We start from the raw sequence: 15,309 nt of genomic DNA, 5'->3' as shown, positions 1-15,309 counted from the left end.
CCACCTTCCTCGGCCTCCTGAGTAGCTAGGACCACAGGTGTGTGCCACCACACACAGTTAATTTTTGTATTTTTTGTAGAGATGGGGTCTCACTATGTCGCCCAGGGTAGTCTCAAACTCCTCGGTCTTGGCCTCCCAAAGTGTTGGGATTACAAACGTGAGAACCGTATTTTCAAATGTATTCAATAACACTACAGCGTTTCCAATTTTAAGAGGAAGCAATTGCCACAAAAGTGATTAAGTAGCCTGTCCTGGATCACAAAGCCCGGTGTCCTGAGCCCAGGGATCCTTGCTCCGGAGCCCCTGCTTTCCCCAGCACATGGTGGTTACCTAATAAGTGCAGGCTGTTGTGCTGAGCATTCTTGGGGGCTGTTACTGGGGTTCACCTCCCGTTTCCGTTACTCTGAACTCTGTCCCCATTTGTTAATAATTAATTGCCCCCAAGGAGCCTGTGATCCTGAGGCTTTGCCCAGTTAATCAGTCACTGCCCCTGGTCTGGGCAAGGGGCAGTTGGTGAACTTGCTGCCTCCAGAGAACCTTCCCTGGTGTGGAGGCAGCCAGGGACCCAGGATGCTCCGGACCTGTTACGTGCTCTGTTCCCAAGCTGGTCCCCCCTCCAGGGGCTGGCAGTCCCTGAGCTTTGATGGCGGGGCCTTCCACCTTAAGGGCACAGGAGAGCTGACACGGGCCTTGCTGGTTCTCCGGCTGTGTGCCTGGCCCCCACTCGTCACTCACGGGCTGTTGGTGAGCAGTGATCCTGAGGACCAGCCTGGAGGCTCCTCATAGCCTGGCGCTGAGCCCTCGCTCCCTGTCACCCAGCTCCAGGCCTGGTCTCGGCGACTCCTGGGCTCCCGGCTCTCAGGCGCATTTCTCCGAGCATCCGTCTATGGGCAGTTTGTGGCTGGTGAGACAGCAGAGGAGGTGAAGGGCTGCGTGCAGCAGCTGCGGACCCTCAGCCTCCGACCACTGCTGGCAGTGCCCACTGAGGAGGAGCCGGACTCTGCTGCCAAGAGTGGGTGAGTAGGGAGCCAGGGCCCAGGGAGGCTGGGAGGACGCAGGAAGGGGCTTTGCTGTTCGGGCCCTGACACCTGCTGGCTGGGCAGTGAGGCGTGGTATGAGGGGAACCTCGGTGCTATGCTGCGGTGTGTGGACCTGTCACGGGGCCTCCTGGAGCCCCCCAGCCTGGCTGAGGCCAGCCTCATGCAGCTGAAGGTGACGGCGCTGACCAGTACTCGGCTCTGTGTAAGGAGTGCAAAGACGGGGGTGCGGGGAGGGCGCGGCTGCCCATCGGGCTCCCCTCACCACCCCGCCTACCACCCCATTTCAGAAGGAGCTAGCCTCGTGGGTCAGAAGGCCAGGAGCCTCCTTGGAGCTGAGCCCCGAGAGGCTGGCTGAAGCTATGGACTCTGGGCAGGTAAGGATCTCAAGCGGGACTGTCGGGGACAGAGTGCCTTGGACTTAGATGCGGCCACACCGCACGCCAGATGTTCAAAATGCTACGGCCACCTCCAGGCTTGGAACAGCCAGCAGAAGTGCAGCTGTAGCTCCCAGGCATGGTTGAAATGGATGGAATCAGGGTCATCTGGGTTCTCAGGGAGGAGCCTGGAGGCTGGAGGCTCTCAGAGGAGGGATTGGGATAGAAGCTGTTTATCAATTAGAAGGAGGTACATCAGTGTGTTCTCAGTCAACACAGCTGCATGGGTGTGAGCTGGCTGGGTGTAAGTTCTGATTAGGCCAATGGGGTCTTAGTTTGTTCATTCAATCATTAATTCCTTTTTATCTCCACATTCTCTTTCAACCCTACTCCATCTTTTTTTCTTTCTTTCTCTCTCTCTCCTTCCTTCCTCTTCCTCTTTTGCTCTCTCTCCTTCCTTCCTTCTTTTCTTTTTCCTTCTCTCCCCTCCCTCCCTCCCTCCCTTCCTTCCTTCCTTCCTTTATTCCTTCCTTCCTTCCTTCTCTCTCCTCCCTCCTCTCTCTCTCTCTCTCTCTTTCTCTTTGTCTTACTGTATTGCACAGGGTGGTCTCTAACTCATGGCCTCAAGCAATCCCCCAGCCTCAGCCCCCCAAAGTTCTGGGATTATAGGTGTGAGCCACCACACCCAGCCTGCCGTCTTGTATAATGCATATCTTTTTGTTTCTATGATTTTGTTTTGCCAGGTGTATACCATTCGTGGGGGGCATATTTTCCCCAATATTCTATTATAAAAATTTTCAAATATACAGAAAAGTAAAAAGAATTGTACATGAACATCCATGCCCCCGCCACCTTTAACTATACTCACTTTAAATCATATCTATCCCTCTATTCCTCTATCCATCCATCAATCCATCTTATTTTTTGGTGCATTTCAAAGTAAATTGCAGACATGTTTTCCCCCTAAATGCTTCAGGATATGAATAATGGGCTCATTAATTAGAGCCCAATAATTATTCGCAGTACTTTTTTTCTTTCAAGGTAAAACAATGAACTACACACATTGTAAATGTGCCCTTTGATGAACCTTAACCAATACACACACTTGAGCAATCCAAATCCCTATCAAGATTTAGAACATGGCCGGGGGCAGTGGCTCACGCCTGTAATCCCAGCACTTTGGGAGGCTGAGGCGGATGGATTACTGGAGGTCAGGAGTTCAAGACCAGCCTGGCCAACATGGTAAAACTCCGTCTCTACTAGAAATACAAAAATTATCTGGACGTGGTGGCACACACCTGTAGTCCCAGTTACTTGGGAGGCTGAGGCAGGAGAATCGCTTGAACCGGGAGGCGGAGGTTGCAGTAAACCGAGATCGTGCCACTGCACTCCAGCCTGGTGACAGAGTAAGACTCCGTCTCAAAAAAAAAAAAAAAAATTCTTCTTGCCTCACCCTCCCAAATTGTTGGGATTATGGGCTGAGCCACCATGCCCGGCCCCCACTGTTTCCAATAGTTGATTCTAGCTGCTGCATGGTTTACCTCTCCTGGGGTGAACCCCTGGGTGGCCTCTGTGTCTCCACCCTCCCAAACAATGCTATAGTGGACATGCTGATGTTTCTTTTTCTAACCTTTTTTTATTTGTAATTTTTATTTGTTTATCTATTTATTTATTATTATTATTATTATTATTATTATTATTTTAAGACAGAGTCTTGCTCTGTTGCCCAGGCTGGAGTGCAGTGGCGCAATCTCTGCTCACTGCGACCTCCGCCTCCCGGGTTCTCCTGCTTCAGCCTCCCGAGTAGCTGGGATTACAAGCGCCTGCCATTACACCTGGCTAATTTTTGTATTTTTAGTAGGGATGAGGCTTCACCATGTTGGCCAGGCTGGTCTTGAACTCCTGACCCCAGGTGAAACGCCCGCCTCAGCCTCCCAAAGTGCTGGGATTACAGGCGTGAGCCACCACGCCCAGCGTTTTTTTTTTTTTTTTTTTTTTTTTTTGAAGCGGCATCTGGCTCTGTTGCCCAGGCTGGAGTGCAGTGGTGCGATCTCGGCTCACTGCAACCTCCGCCTCCCGGGTTCAAACGATTCTCCTGCCCCAGCCTCCTGAGTAGCTGGGGCTACAGGCGCACACCACCACACCCAGCTAAGTTTTGTATTTTTAGTAGAGATGGGGTTTCACTATGTTGGCCAGGCTAGTCTTTAACTCCTGACCTCGTGATCCACGTGCCTCGGCCTCCCAAAGTGCTGGGATTACAGGCATGAGCCACTGTACCTGGCCTTATTTGTAATTTTTAAAGTGTGTCAGAGAACACATAGAAACAAGATTTCATGGTTCAGAAAATCAGCTTTGGAGAGTAAGGAGTTCACCTCTTCATGAGCTTTAGTTTATTCCTGTAGGGAGAGTGACAGCAACTTCTCAGTGGTTTTAAGGATTAAAACAGGCTGGGTGCAGTGCCTCATGCCTGTAATCTGCATTTTGGGAGGCTGAAATTGGAGGCTCACTTGAGCCCAGGAGTTTGAGACCTGCCTGGGCAACATAGTGAGATCTCATCTCTACAAAAAAATTAAAAAATCAGCCTGTGTGCTGGTGCACACCTGGTGTGGAGGCTAAGGCAGGAGGGTCGCTTGAGCCCAGGAGGTCAATACCAACCTGAGTAATATAGTAAACCCTCATCTCTACAAAAAATTCCTTTAAATTAGCTGGGTGTGGTGGCAGGCACCTGTAATCCTGGCTACTTGGGAGGCTAAGGTGGGAGGATTGCTTGAGCTGGCAAGTTTGAGAGCGAAGAAAGAAAGAGAGGGAGGGAGGAAGGAAGGAAGGAAGGAAAGGAAGGAAGGAAGGAAGGAAGAAAGAAATAAAGAAAGAAAGAAAAAAGGGCCAGGTGCTGTAGCTCACACCTGTAATCCCAGCACTTTGGGAGGCTAAGTGGGGCTGGATCACTTGAGGTCAGGAGTTTGAGACCAGCCTGGGCAACATGGTGAAACCCCATCTCTACTAAAAATATAAAACTTATCCAGAAGTGGTGGCACGTGCCTGTAGCCCCAGTTAATCAGGAGGCTGAGGCAGGGGAATCACTTGAACTTGCACCACTGCACTCTTGCCTGGGAGACAGAGTGAGATCTATCTCAAAAAAAAAAAAAAAAGAAGGAAGGAAGGAAGGGAGGGAAGGAGGGAGGGAGGGAGAAAAGAGAGAAAGACCCAGGCTCTGGAAAGGCTGAGGTTTAAACCTCAGGTCTGCCCTGAGTTAGCTGTGTGACTTTTGACAAGTGACTTCCCTGCTCTGTGCCTCAGTTTCCCCATCTAGAAAATGGGGGGATAATAACAGTTGGTACATTAGAGAGTGGTAAATATTAAATGAGTTAAATATTTGGTGGGTGTCTGAAATAGCTCCCTGAGGGCCTAAGACTACGCCCCAAGTCAAGCAGGAGACAATCCTCTGACAGGGGAGGAGGAAACCAGGCTGCTGCCTCCAGGTCTTCCCTTCTCCAGGAGGCAGCATTCTCCCCACCATGCGGAAGGTTGCAGCTTCCAGCCCAACCTGCCTCCAGGTGGGATTCCATGAGCAAGCCCAGGCCTATGTCATCTGTATCGACCCTGTTGGATATAATAAAGCTTTCAGCCCCACCTGTTCCTCTTTCTTCCATTTCCCAACTTCTTTGAACCCAGCCAGACTCCCTGGAGTCACCAGCAGCTCACATTCAGCCAGATGAATCTGCATAAGACTGTGAGTTAGAAACGGTTCTTATTTCCATGTTACAAGCATATCCACTCCCGAAGTGTTTGCTGAACATCTATCTTGTTCCAGACACGGTGCTAGGGGCCGAGGAAGCATGAAGGCAAAATCCCTGACCTCGAGGCACTTACTTGCAAGTCAGGGGCAAGAGACAATAATTAAAACCAAAGTCAGAATCCCAGCACTTTGGAAGGCTGAGGTGGGAGGATCGCTTGAGTCCAGGAGACTGAGACCAGCCTGGGCAACATAGGAAGACCTTGACTCTACAAATAGTAAAGAATTAGCCCGGCATGGTGGTGGGTGCCTGTGGTACTAGGTACTTGGAAGGCTGAAGCAGGAGGATTGCTTGAGCTGGGGAGGTGGAGGCTGCAGTGAGCCATGATCGTGCCACTGCATTCCAGCCTGGGCAACACAGCAAGACCCCGTCTCAGCAAAACAAAAGTCAGTACGTAACAAGTAAGGGAAAATAAGGCTGAGGAAGAGGAAAAGAAGTTGCCAATGTATAGGTGGGAAAACCATGTTGAGAAAGTGACATTAGAGCAAATACTTGAAGGAAACATGGGAGCAGGTAAAGGGCTGGAGGTGGGAAGGTGCCCTCGTGTTCAAAGAGTAGCAGGGAGGGCTGAGCACGGTGGCTCACACCTGTAATCCCAGCACTTTGGGAGGCCGATGTGGGCAGATCACTTGAGGTCAGGAGTTCGAGACCAGCCTGGCCAACATGGTTAAACCCTGTCTCTACTAAAAGTACAAATATTAGCCGGGCATGGTGGCGGGCGCCTGTAATCCCAGCTACTCGGGAGGCTGAAGCAGGAGAATCACTTGAACCCAGGAGGCAGAGGTTGCAGTGAGCTGAGATCATGCCACTGCACTCCAGCCTGGGCAACAGAGCAAGACTCTGTTTCAAAAAACAAACAAACAAAAACTGAGGCCCAGAAAGGTTACATAACTTGCCCAAGGTCACACAGTAGGTGGTGAAGCCTGGATTCGAGCCCTGATTCTAGGCTCATAACCCCCTCAATAAATAGTACCTAACTGATATTGCTCATTTTTAGATTTCTAGCAACTTATAAGCTTTTCCCCACTTCCCCTGCTGCCCCCTAGAACCTCCAGGTCTCCTGCCTCAATGCTGAGCAGAACCAGCACCTCCGGGCCTCCCTCAGCCGCCTGCATCGGGTGGCACAGGTAACCCCTCCTGCTGGAACCAGCACCTCCGGGCCTCCCTCTGCCGCCTGCATTGGGTGGCACAGGTAACCCCTCCTGCTGGAACCAGCACCTCCGGGCCTCCCTCAGCCGCCTGCATCGGGTGGCACAGGTAACCCCTCCTGCTGGGATCTGGCTCCACTGCCCCTGCTGGACACCCGGGGCCCTGACCGTCGTCTCTGTCGCCATCAGTATGCCCGGGCCCAGCACGTGCGGCTCCTGGTGGATGCGGAGTACACCTCACTGAACCCTGCGCTCTCGCTGCTGGTGGCTGCCCTGGCTGTGCGCTGGAACAGCCCGGGTGAAGGCGGGCCCTGGGTGTGGAACACCTACCAGGCCTGTCTAAAGGTGTGCAGTGTGTTCCAGGAGGTACAGGCTGGGGTCCCCACACCCTGACCTACCAGAACCTGCCTGCGTGCCCTATAGGACACATTCGAGCGGCTGGGGAGGGATGCAGAGGCTGCGCACAGGGCCGGCCTGGCCTTCGGAGTGAAGCTGGTACGAGGTGCATATCTGGACAAGGAGAGAGCGGTGGCCCAGCTCCATGGGATGGAAGACCCCACTCAGCCTGACTATGAGGCCACCAGTCAGAGGTAGGCCCGGGCCAGCTGGCCTCTGCAGGAAATAATAACACCTAGTGGTTGGGTGCAGTGGCTCATACCTGTAATCCCAGTGCTTTGGGAGGCTGAGGCTAGAGATTCACTTGAGAGCAGGAGTTGGAGACCAGCCTGGGCAACACAGGGAGACCCCATCTCTAAAAAATTTTAAAAATAGTCAGGTGTGGTAGCACATGCCTGTGGTTCCAGCCACTTAGGAGGCTGAGGTGGGAGGATCACTTGAGGCCAGGAGTTCAAGGCTGCAGTGAGCCATGACTGCACCACTGCACTTCAGCCTGGGCAGCAGAGCGAGAATCTGTCTCAAAACAAACAAACAAACAAACAAACAAACAAAACAAAACAAAAAGAAATCCTTACAGTGGCCTCTAAGCCCCACATGCTCCCTGTCACTTCCCTAACTTTCCCTCCCTCTCTTCCTCTCCCTCACTCCACTACAGCCACACTGGCCTCCTCCATGTTACCCAGGGGCTTGGCACATCCTGTTTCCACTGCCTGGGACATTCCCACTGCAGACAGTGGCATGGCCCCATCCCTCACCTCCTTAGATCTTTACTTCTTGGTACCTTCTCTGGGGGCCACAGGGACTCAGCCAGGCTACAGAGCAGGTGGCCTAGCCACGCTTGGAATCCAGGCTCATGTCCAAGATCTGCAGGGGCTCCAGGGCACGTTTGTGTACCATCAGCTTAACTGGCACCAAGCCAGGCACAGTGGTGTGCACCTGTCATCCCAACTACTTGGGAGGCTGAGGCAGGAAGATTGCTTGAGCCCAGGGGTTTGAGCCCAATCTGCACAACATAGCAAGACCCCATCTGTAAAAAACATTAAACACAAAAAATTATGGCCGGGCATGGTGGCTCACGCTTGTAATCCCGGCACTTTGGGAGGCTGAGGCAGGCAGATCACCTGAGGTCAGGAGTTTGAGACCAGCCTGACAAACATGGTGAAACCCTGTCTCTACTAAAAATACAAAAATTAGCCGGGTGTGGTGGCTTGCACTGGTAATCCCAGCTACTTGGGAGGCTGAGGAAGGAGAATCACTTGAACCCAGGAGGCAAAGGTTGTAGTGAGCCAAGATTGAGCCACTACACTCCAGCCTGGGCGACAGAGTGAGACTCCATCTCAAAATAATAATAATAATTTGCACTATTATTTTAAATATTGAAATATAATTCACGTATCATAGAATTCACAATTTTAACATGTACAATTCAGTGGAGTTTAGTATATTCCCAAAATTGTGCAACCATCACCACTCTTTGATTCCACAATATTTTCATCACCCCAAAAAGTAACCTCATACCAATGAGCAGTCAGCTGCCTTCTGTTCCCTCCTCCCCTCAGCCCCTGGAAACCACTAACCTACTTTTTGTCTCTGTGGATTTGCCTATTCTAGACAATCTTATAAATGGAATCATACAATATGTGCCCTTGTATATTTGGCTTTTTTCATTTGTTTTTTAAGTTATTTTTGAGACAGGGTCTCACTCTGTCGCCCAGGCTGGAGTGCAGTGGTGCGATCTTGGCTCACTGCAGCCTTGACTCCCCAGGCCCAAGCCATCCTCCCACCTCAGTCTCCCCAGTAGCTAAGACCACCAGCGCACACCACCATACCCAACACATTTTTTTATTTTTGTAGACACGGGGTCTCCCTATGTTGCCCAGGCTAGTCTTGAACTCCTAGGCTGAAGCAGCCCTCCTGCCTTGGCCTCCCCAAGTGCTGGGATTATAGGCGTAAGCCAGCATGTCCAGCCACAACTGTGCATTTTAAAGGCAGACTAGCCTACCGATAAGGAGCCTGGGCTCTGGAGCATCAGACAGCCTGAGTTCAAATCCCAGCCTGGCCACCTCTAGCTGTGTGACCTGGGGACAAGAGATAGAACCCCTCTCAGCTTCAGTCTCCCCACTCTGTTAAAATGGAATAAGAACATCTGCCTCCCAGAGTTGATGTGGGAATTAGATGAGTGATTAGCTTTCTCCAAAGCAAACAGAATTCTGCACAAAGGGTTTTAACTAAAGGAAATGTGGTGAAGAGGCTGTTTATAGAAGTGTCAGGGGCCAGGTGCAGGGCCTCACACCTGTAATCCCAGCACTTTGGGAGCCCAAGGTGGGAGGATCGCTTGAGCCCAGGAGTTGGAGGATTCCGTGAGCCGAGATCACGCCACTGCACTCCAACCTGGGCAACAGAGTGAGACCCAGTCTCTAAAAAACACAAAACGAAAAGGAAGTGTGGGCAAAGTCAGGGAAGCTATTAGGAAGCTATTTTGACCCCTATGCTGTAGTTGAAGGAGAGGGGCCACCTTAGGGAGCTGTGGCCACACACAGAACACAGTCAGGGTGAGCAGGGAGGGGCCGAGGTGAGACACCCACACTCCTTCCTGCACATGACTCCATGGGGGATGTGGGGCAAAAGTGTCAGCTTCCTGAGGGGCAGAGAAGGGTAGAAAACAGGTCTGGGGGGCGATAGGGAAGACCCACAGAGGATGTGAAATACATAGCGTGGCCCGTGGCCTGCAGCATGCTTGCAAGGTGTTTGCCAATCTATTTCCTCTTCCATATCAGTACCCAGACAGTGTCTTCCTTCCTTTTCACAGTTGCGCGATAGAGCACTATCTTCTCTGTACCACAATTTCCTTAGCCAGTTCCCCATTTATGGACATTTGGGCTGTTGCTAGTGATGTTCTGTTGACAATGCAGCAGTGATAACCTTGGGGAAATGTCATCTTGTGCATGTGATGCGACCCTCTCCTGTGAGACCGCCGCCACTGTCCCAAAGACTTCATATCCCCCTTATCTCACTCCATCCTCACAACAGTGTTGCTCGGAAACTCACAGTGACAAGAGATTAACATGGGGCCGGGTGCGGTGGCTCACGCCTGTAATCCCAGCACTCTGGGAGGCTGAGGCGGGCAGATCACCTGAGGTCAGGAGTTCGAGTCCAGCCTGGGCAACATGGCGAAACTCCGTCTCTACTAAAAATACAAAAATTAGCCGGGTGTGATGGTGCACGCCTGTAATCCCAGCTGCTCGGGAGGCTGAGGCAGGAGAATCCCTTGAACCTGGGAGGTGGAGGTTGCAGTGAGCTGAGATCATGCCACTGCATTCCAGCCTGGGCAACAGAGTGACTCCATCTCAAAAACAAACAAACAAAACCCCCAAAAAACCCCAGAAGATGAAAGTGGCTCAGAGAAGTGATGTCCCTTACAACTGGTGCAGATGGAACAGAGTACTGGTTCCAGAGACCCCTTGCTTAGGAGCACCCCACCCACCCCAGTCGCTGGGGCCTGACCCTCGCTCACCAGGTGAGCTGAACAGAGCATCTCCCTTCAGTTACAGCCGCTGCCTGGAACTGATGCTGACGCACGTGGCCCGCCATGGCCCCATGTGCCACCTCATGGTGGCTTCCCACAATGAGGAATCTGTTCGCCAGGCAACCAAGCGGTATGAGGTGGAGGGATGGGCGGGAAATAGGTGCCCACAAAAGGGCCCTCCCTTCCTCTCCTTTGCTCAAATGCCAGAGATGGACAGAGGTGTTCTGGGGAGAATTTTAAAAATATTTATAGCCAGGCATGGTTGGCACATGCCTATAATCCCAACACTTTGGGAGGCGAAGGTGGAGGATTGTTTGAGACCAGCCTGGGCAACACAGCAAGACCCCATTTCTACAACAAATTAAAAAAAAAAAAACAGCTGGGTGTGGTGGCGCACACCTGTAGTCCCAGCTATTCCGGAGGTGGAAGGATCACTTGAGCCCAAGAGGTTGAGACTGCAGTGAGCAGTGCTTGAGCCACTGCACTCCAGCCTGGGTAACAAAGCAAGTCCCTACCTCTTAAAACAAACAAACAAACAAACACATTAACCCCTGCTATACCTGTAAGTCCTTATAGGTCCCAGATGGACAAGACGTTGCCCCTTATTTGCTGGGGCATGAGGAGGTCTGAGGGCTCCAGGGAACTGGCTGGGAGTCACTGGGGGACCTTCAAGGAATGCAAAGGACTGGTTATTATGTATCATTGAGTTTGGAAATACTTCAATGTTTGAATTACTGGAGCCGCCATATGGGTGCATAGTGGCTGACTTTAAGCTGTAGATGCAGCCACAGTCTGGACTGATGATGTGGCCTTTTCTGTAGCATGTGGGAGCTGGGCATTCCTCTGGATGGGACTGTCTGTTTCGGACAACTTCTGGGCATGTGTGACCACGTCTCTCTAGCACTGGGTATGTGAATGGCTCCCCCACCCCCATCAAGCCCCAGGCCTTACTCCCTCCCAGCCAGAGCCCTTCTCCTATTCCCAACCAAGGCCCAGCCTCCAGATCCTTCCAGAGAGATCTGTCATTCCAGTGTCTGTGGGCCTTCCAAGGCTGTGTCTCTGTGTCTGCCGTCTGTCATTTCTGCTGGTTCTTGATCATGGTGTATTATTTCTTGTGTGTTTTGTTATCTTTACTGTGCTGCTCCTCAGGGCCTGACACCAGGTAATTAATGTTTCCTTCTGCCAGGTGCTAAGCAGAACGAAATCACTTTATCCTAAATTCATAGCTTGAGGTTTCTTGAAACACCCCACTGGCACAAATTTGAGCTGCAAATACATAAGGGGGTTAACCCATAGCCCCAACTTCGCAGAGGTGGATTTTTCTGTTTTCTTCCTTGATCTGTTTATGGCCAAGACCATTTCCTGGGACTGGGGGAAGGTTGCAGGGTTGACTTTTTATTAACTCTTACTCTAAGGGTGTAGATTTTTGGGTTCCAGCTTAACTTGGGGAAGTTCTCCCTTATAACTCTCACCTCAGGCTTGAAGACTGACTCAATGTCCCCCCGCAACTCTGTGAATTCATCAGATAGCACCTCGGTTTTGCTTTTGGGGCAGAAGTGGCTTGCTGTGTGTCTCTTCTCTCTCTGGGTTCTCATTTTCTCTTTTATTTTATTTTATTTATTTATTTATTTTGAGACAGAGTCTTGCTCTGTTACCCAGGCAGGAGTCCAGTGGTGCCATCTTGGCTCACTGCAACCTTTGCCTCCCAGGTTCAAGCGATTCTCCTGCCTCAGCCTCCCAAGTAGCTGGGATTACAGACGGCTGCCACCACGCCCAGCTAATTTTTGTATTTTTAGTAGAGATGGGGTCTTACCATGTTTGCCAGGCTGGTCTCAAACTCCTGACCTCAGGTGATCTGCCTGCCTTGGCCTCCCAGAGTTGCTGGGATTACAGGCGTGAGCCACCACGCCCAGCTTATTTATTTTGTTTTTGAGACAGAGTCTGGCTCTGTCGCCCAGACTTGAGTGCAGTGGCACGATCTCAGCTCACTTCAACCTCCGCCTCCTGGGTTCAAGTGATTCTCCTGCCTCCGCCTCCCCAGTAGCCGGGATTATAGGCACGCACCACCATGCCCAGCCAATTTTTGTATTTTTAGTAGAGACGGGGTTTCACCATGTTGGCCAGGTTGGTCAGTGTGCTGAGATTGTGCCACTGCCCTCCAGCCAGGGCGACAGACCAAGACTCTGTCTCAAAATTAATTAATTAATTAATTAATCAATTGAGATAAAATAAAAACAGTTAGCTGGGCGTGGAGGTGCATGCCTGTGGTCCCAGCTATTCAGGAGGCTGAGGTGGGAGGATTGTTTGAGCCTGGGAGGTCAAAGCAGCAGTGAGTCGTGATCACACCACTGCACTCCAGCCTGGGCCACAGGGCTAGACCCTGTCTAAGAGAGAAAAAAAAAAGTTTGCTCCAGGACTTTTAGCTTTTTCAGTTAGAAATTTTATCCAACTCACTTAATCTGCCATGTTCTCAGAAACAGAAGTCTCTGTTCCAGGTGGGGACTGGGGAGTGTCCCCCCAGCCCAAGCCCATACCCTGTCAACACTCCAGGCTGGGCATGGTGGCTCACGCCTGTAATCCCAGCACTTTGGGAGGCCAAAGCAGGAGGATAACTTGAGGTCAGGAGTTCGAGACCAGCCTGGCCAACATGGTGAAACCCCATCTCTACTAAAAATACAAAAATGAGCCGGGCGTCGTGGCAAGCGCCTATAATCCCAGCCATTCTGGAGGCTGAGGCATGAGAATCGCTTGAACCTGGAGGCAGAGCTTGCAGTGAGCTGAGATTGCACCACTGCACTCCAGCCTGGGCAACAGAGCGAGACTCTGTCTCAGAAAAACACCAAAAACGAAAAAACAAAACCCACTCTCCCTGCAGGGCAGGCCGGCTATGTAGTGTATAAGTCCATTCCCTATGGCTCCTTGGAGGAGGTAATCCCCTACCTGATCCGGAGGGCCCAGGAGAACCGGAGCGTGCTTCAGGGTGCCCGCAGGGAACAGGAGCTGCTCAGCCAAGAACTGTGGCGGCGGCTGCTGCCAGGATGCCGAAGGATACCCCACTAGCACCCCTGAGGGGGTCATGTGGTCAATAAAAGTCCTTAGGTGCTGCCTAAGCTGCTGTCCTGCACTGACGCCGCCTCCTTGGGGAAGGGCTCATCTTGACCTCAGCCAGCCCAAGCTAGGGGTTTTGCAGTTCAAGAGAGATCGTTAGGCTGGGAGTGGTAGCTCTCGCCTATACTCCCAGCGCTTTGGGAGGCCGAGGTGGGAGGCGTGCTTCAGTCTAGGAGTTCAAGACCAGCCTGGGCAACATAGCAATATTCTTTCTCTACAAAAAATTAAATCAGTAGGGCATGGTGGTGCGTGCCTGTGGTCCCAGCTCGGGAGGCTGAGGCAGGAGGATCACTTGAGCCCAGGGGTTTGAGGCTGCAGTGACCTATGACTGCACCACTGCTCTCCAGTCTGGGTGACAGCAAGAGACTGTGTTTAAAAAAAAAAAAAGAAAAGAAAAGAAAAAGAGGCCGGGCACGGTGGCTCACGCCTGTAATCCCAGCAGTTTGGGAGGCCGAGGCGTGTGGATAACGAGGTCAGGAGATCGAGACCATCCTAGCTAACATGGTGAAACCCCGTCTCTGCTAAAAATACAAAAAATAGCCGGGCGTGGTGGCAGGCGCCTGTAGTCCCAGCTACTCGGGAGGCTGAGGCAAGAGAATGGCATGAATCCAGGAGGCAGAGCTTGCAGTGAGCTGAGATCACGCCACTGCACTCCAGCCTGGGCAACAGAGTGAGACTCAGTCTCAAAAAAAAAAAAAAAGAAAAGAAAAAAAAAAAAAAGATCGTTAGACACCCATTGAGCATAGCCAGGGCATTGACGGAGGACTAAGGAAGCCTCCCTCACCTCTGAGGCAGACCATCCTGGGTTGGGTCTGGCCAGTGACTGATGCAGAACTTTCTTCATCCCAGGGGATGCCTAAAGGAAGGGCACACATGGGGAGCAGACACCAAGGCACTGAAGTCAAGGGGCTCGGCCCAGGCCACTTGGCGAGGGAGGGACAGAAGAAAGAGCCAAGCCATTCTCTCAGTTAATAAGCATTGAATGAAACTAGGTGCAGTGACTCATGCCTGTAATCCCAGCACTTTGGGAGACCAAGGCAGGTGGATTGCTTGAGGTCAGGAGTTTGAGACCAGCCTGGGCAACATAGTGAAACCCCATTATCTCTCAAAAAAAAAAAAAAAAAAAAAAGAAAGAAAGAAATTAGCTAGCCAGGTGCTGTGGCTCACACCTGTAATCCCAGCACTTTGGGAGGCTGAGGCCGGCGGATCACGAGGTCAAGAGATCGAAACCATCCTGCCCAACATGGTGAAACCCTGTCTTTACTAAAAATACAAAAATTAGCCAGGCGTGGTGGCACTCGCCTGTAATCCCAGCTACTTGGGAGGCTGAGGCAGGAGAATCACTTGAACCTGGGAGATGGAGGTTGCAGTGAGCCAAGATCGTGCCACTGCACTCCAGCCTGGCGACAGAGCAGGACTCCATCTTAAAAAAAAAAAAAAAAATTAGCTAGGTGTGGTGGGTGGCCTGTGCTTGTAGTCCCAGCTACTTGGGAGGCTGAGGCAGGAGGTTGGCTTGAGCCCTGGAGGTGGAGGCTGGAGTGAGCTATGATCTTGCCACTGCACACCAGCCCGGGCAACAGAGTGAGATCCTGTCTGAGAAAAACGCCAGGTGCAGTGGCTCATGCCTGTAATCCCAGCACTTTGGGAGGCCGAGGCGGGCAGAAGTCAGGAGATTGAGACCAGCCTGGCCAACATGGTGAAACCCCGTGTCTACTAAAAATACAAAAATGAGCCGGGCATGGTGGCGTGCGCCTGTAATCCCAGCTACTCGGAAGGCTGAAGAAGGAGAATTGCTTGAACCTGGGAGATGCAGGTTGCAGTGAGCCGAGATCGCGCCACTGCACGCCAGCCTGGGCGACAGAGTGAGAATAAAAGCACTGAATGAGGCCTCTTTTGAGCTAGGTTCTGGGGTGAACAACGCTG

General features: G+C 51.7%; 1 protein-coding gene across 4 annotated transcripts, besides 1 other annotated feature; it reads left to right on the top strand.

Annotated features, from left to right (window-relative positions):
* Nucleotides 1–530: 530 nt before the first annotated feature.
* PRODH2 (proline dehydrogenase 2) lies at nt 531–13,388 on the top strand. Of its 4 annotated transcripts, NM_021232.2 has the most exons (10): nt 531–744; nt 820–1,016; nt 1,104–1,242; nt 1,328–1,414; nt 6,255–6,335; nt 6,546–6,701; nt 6,780–6,946; nt 10,298–10,408; nt 11,100–11,185; nt 13,154–13,388. In NM_021232.2, the coding sequence occupies exons 1-10, from the start codon at nt 571–573 to the stop codon at nt 13,336–13,338; spliced, it is 1,383 nt and encodes a 460-aa protein (NP_067055.2). In that variant the 5' UTR covers nt 531–570; the 3' UTR covers nt 13,339–13,388. The 4 variants fall into 4 exon arrangements, with proteins under 4 accessions (NP_067055.2, NP_001365221.1, NP_001365222.1 ...); NM_001378292.1 differs by lacking the exon at nt 6,546–6,701; NM_001378293.1 differs by lacking the exon at nt 11,100–11,185.
* Nucleotides 5,943–6,443: an enhancer, noted in NCBI's record as "H3K4me1 hESC enhancer chr19:36297835-36298335 (GRCh37/hg19 assembly coordinates)". NCBI's record gives its function as "activates a minimal SCP1, AML or CMV promoter by ChIP-STARR-seq in naive H9 embryonic stem cells {active_cell/tissue: H9 hESC(naive)}" and the evidence as "EXISTENCE:reporter gene assay evidence [ECO:0000049][PMID:30033119]".
* Nucleotides 13,389–15,309: the final 1,921 nt, after the last annotated feature.

Source organism: Homo sapiens, chromosome 19 (genome assembly GCF_000001405.40).
Source record: "Homo sapiens chromosome 19, GRCh38.p14 Primary Assembly".
Classification (NCBI taxonomy): Eukaryota; Metazoa; Chordata; class Mammalia; order Primates; family Hominidae; genus Homo; species Homo sapiens.
This window is presented reverse-complemented; position numbering and strand designations above follow the sequence as displayed.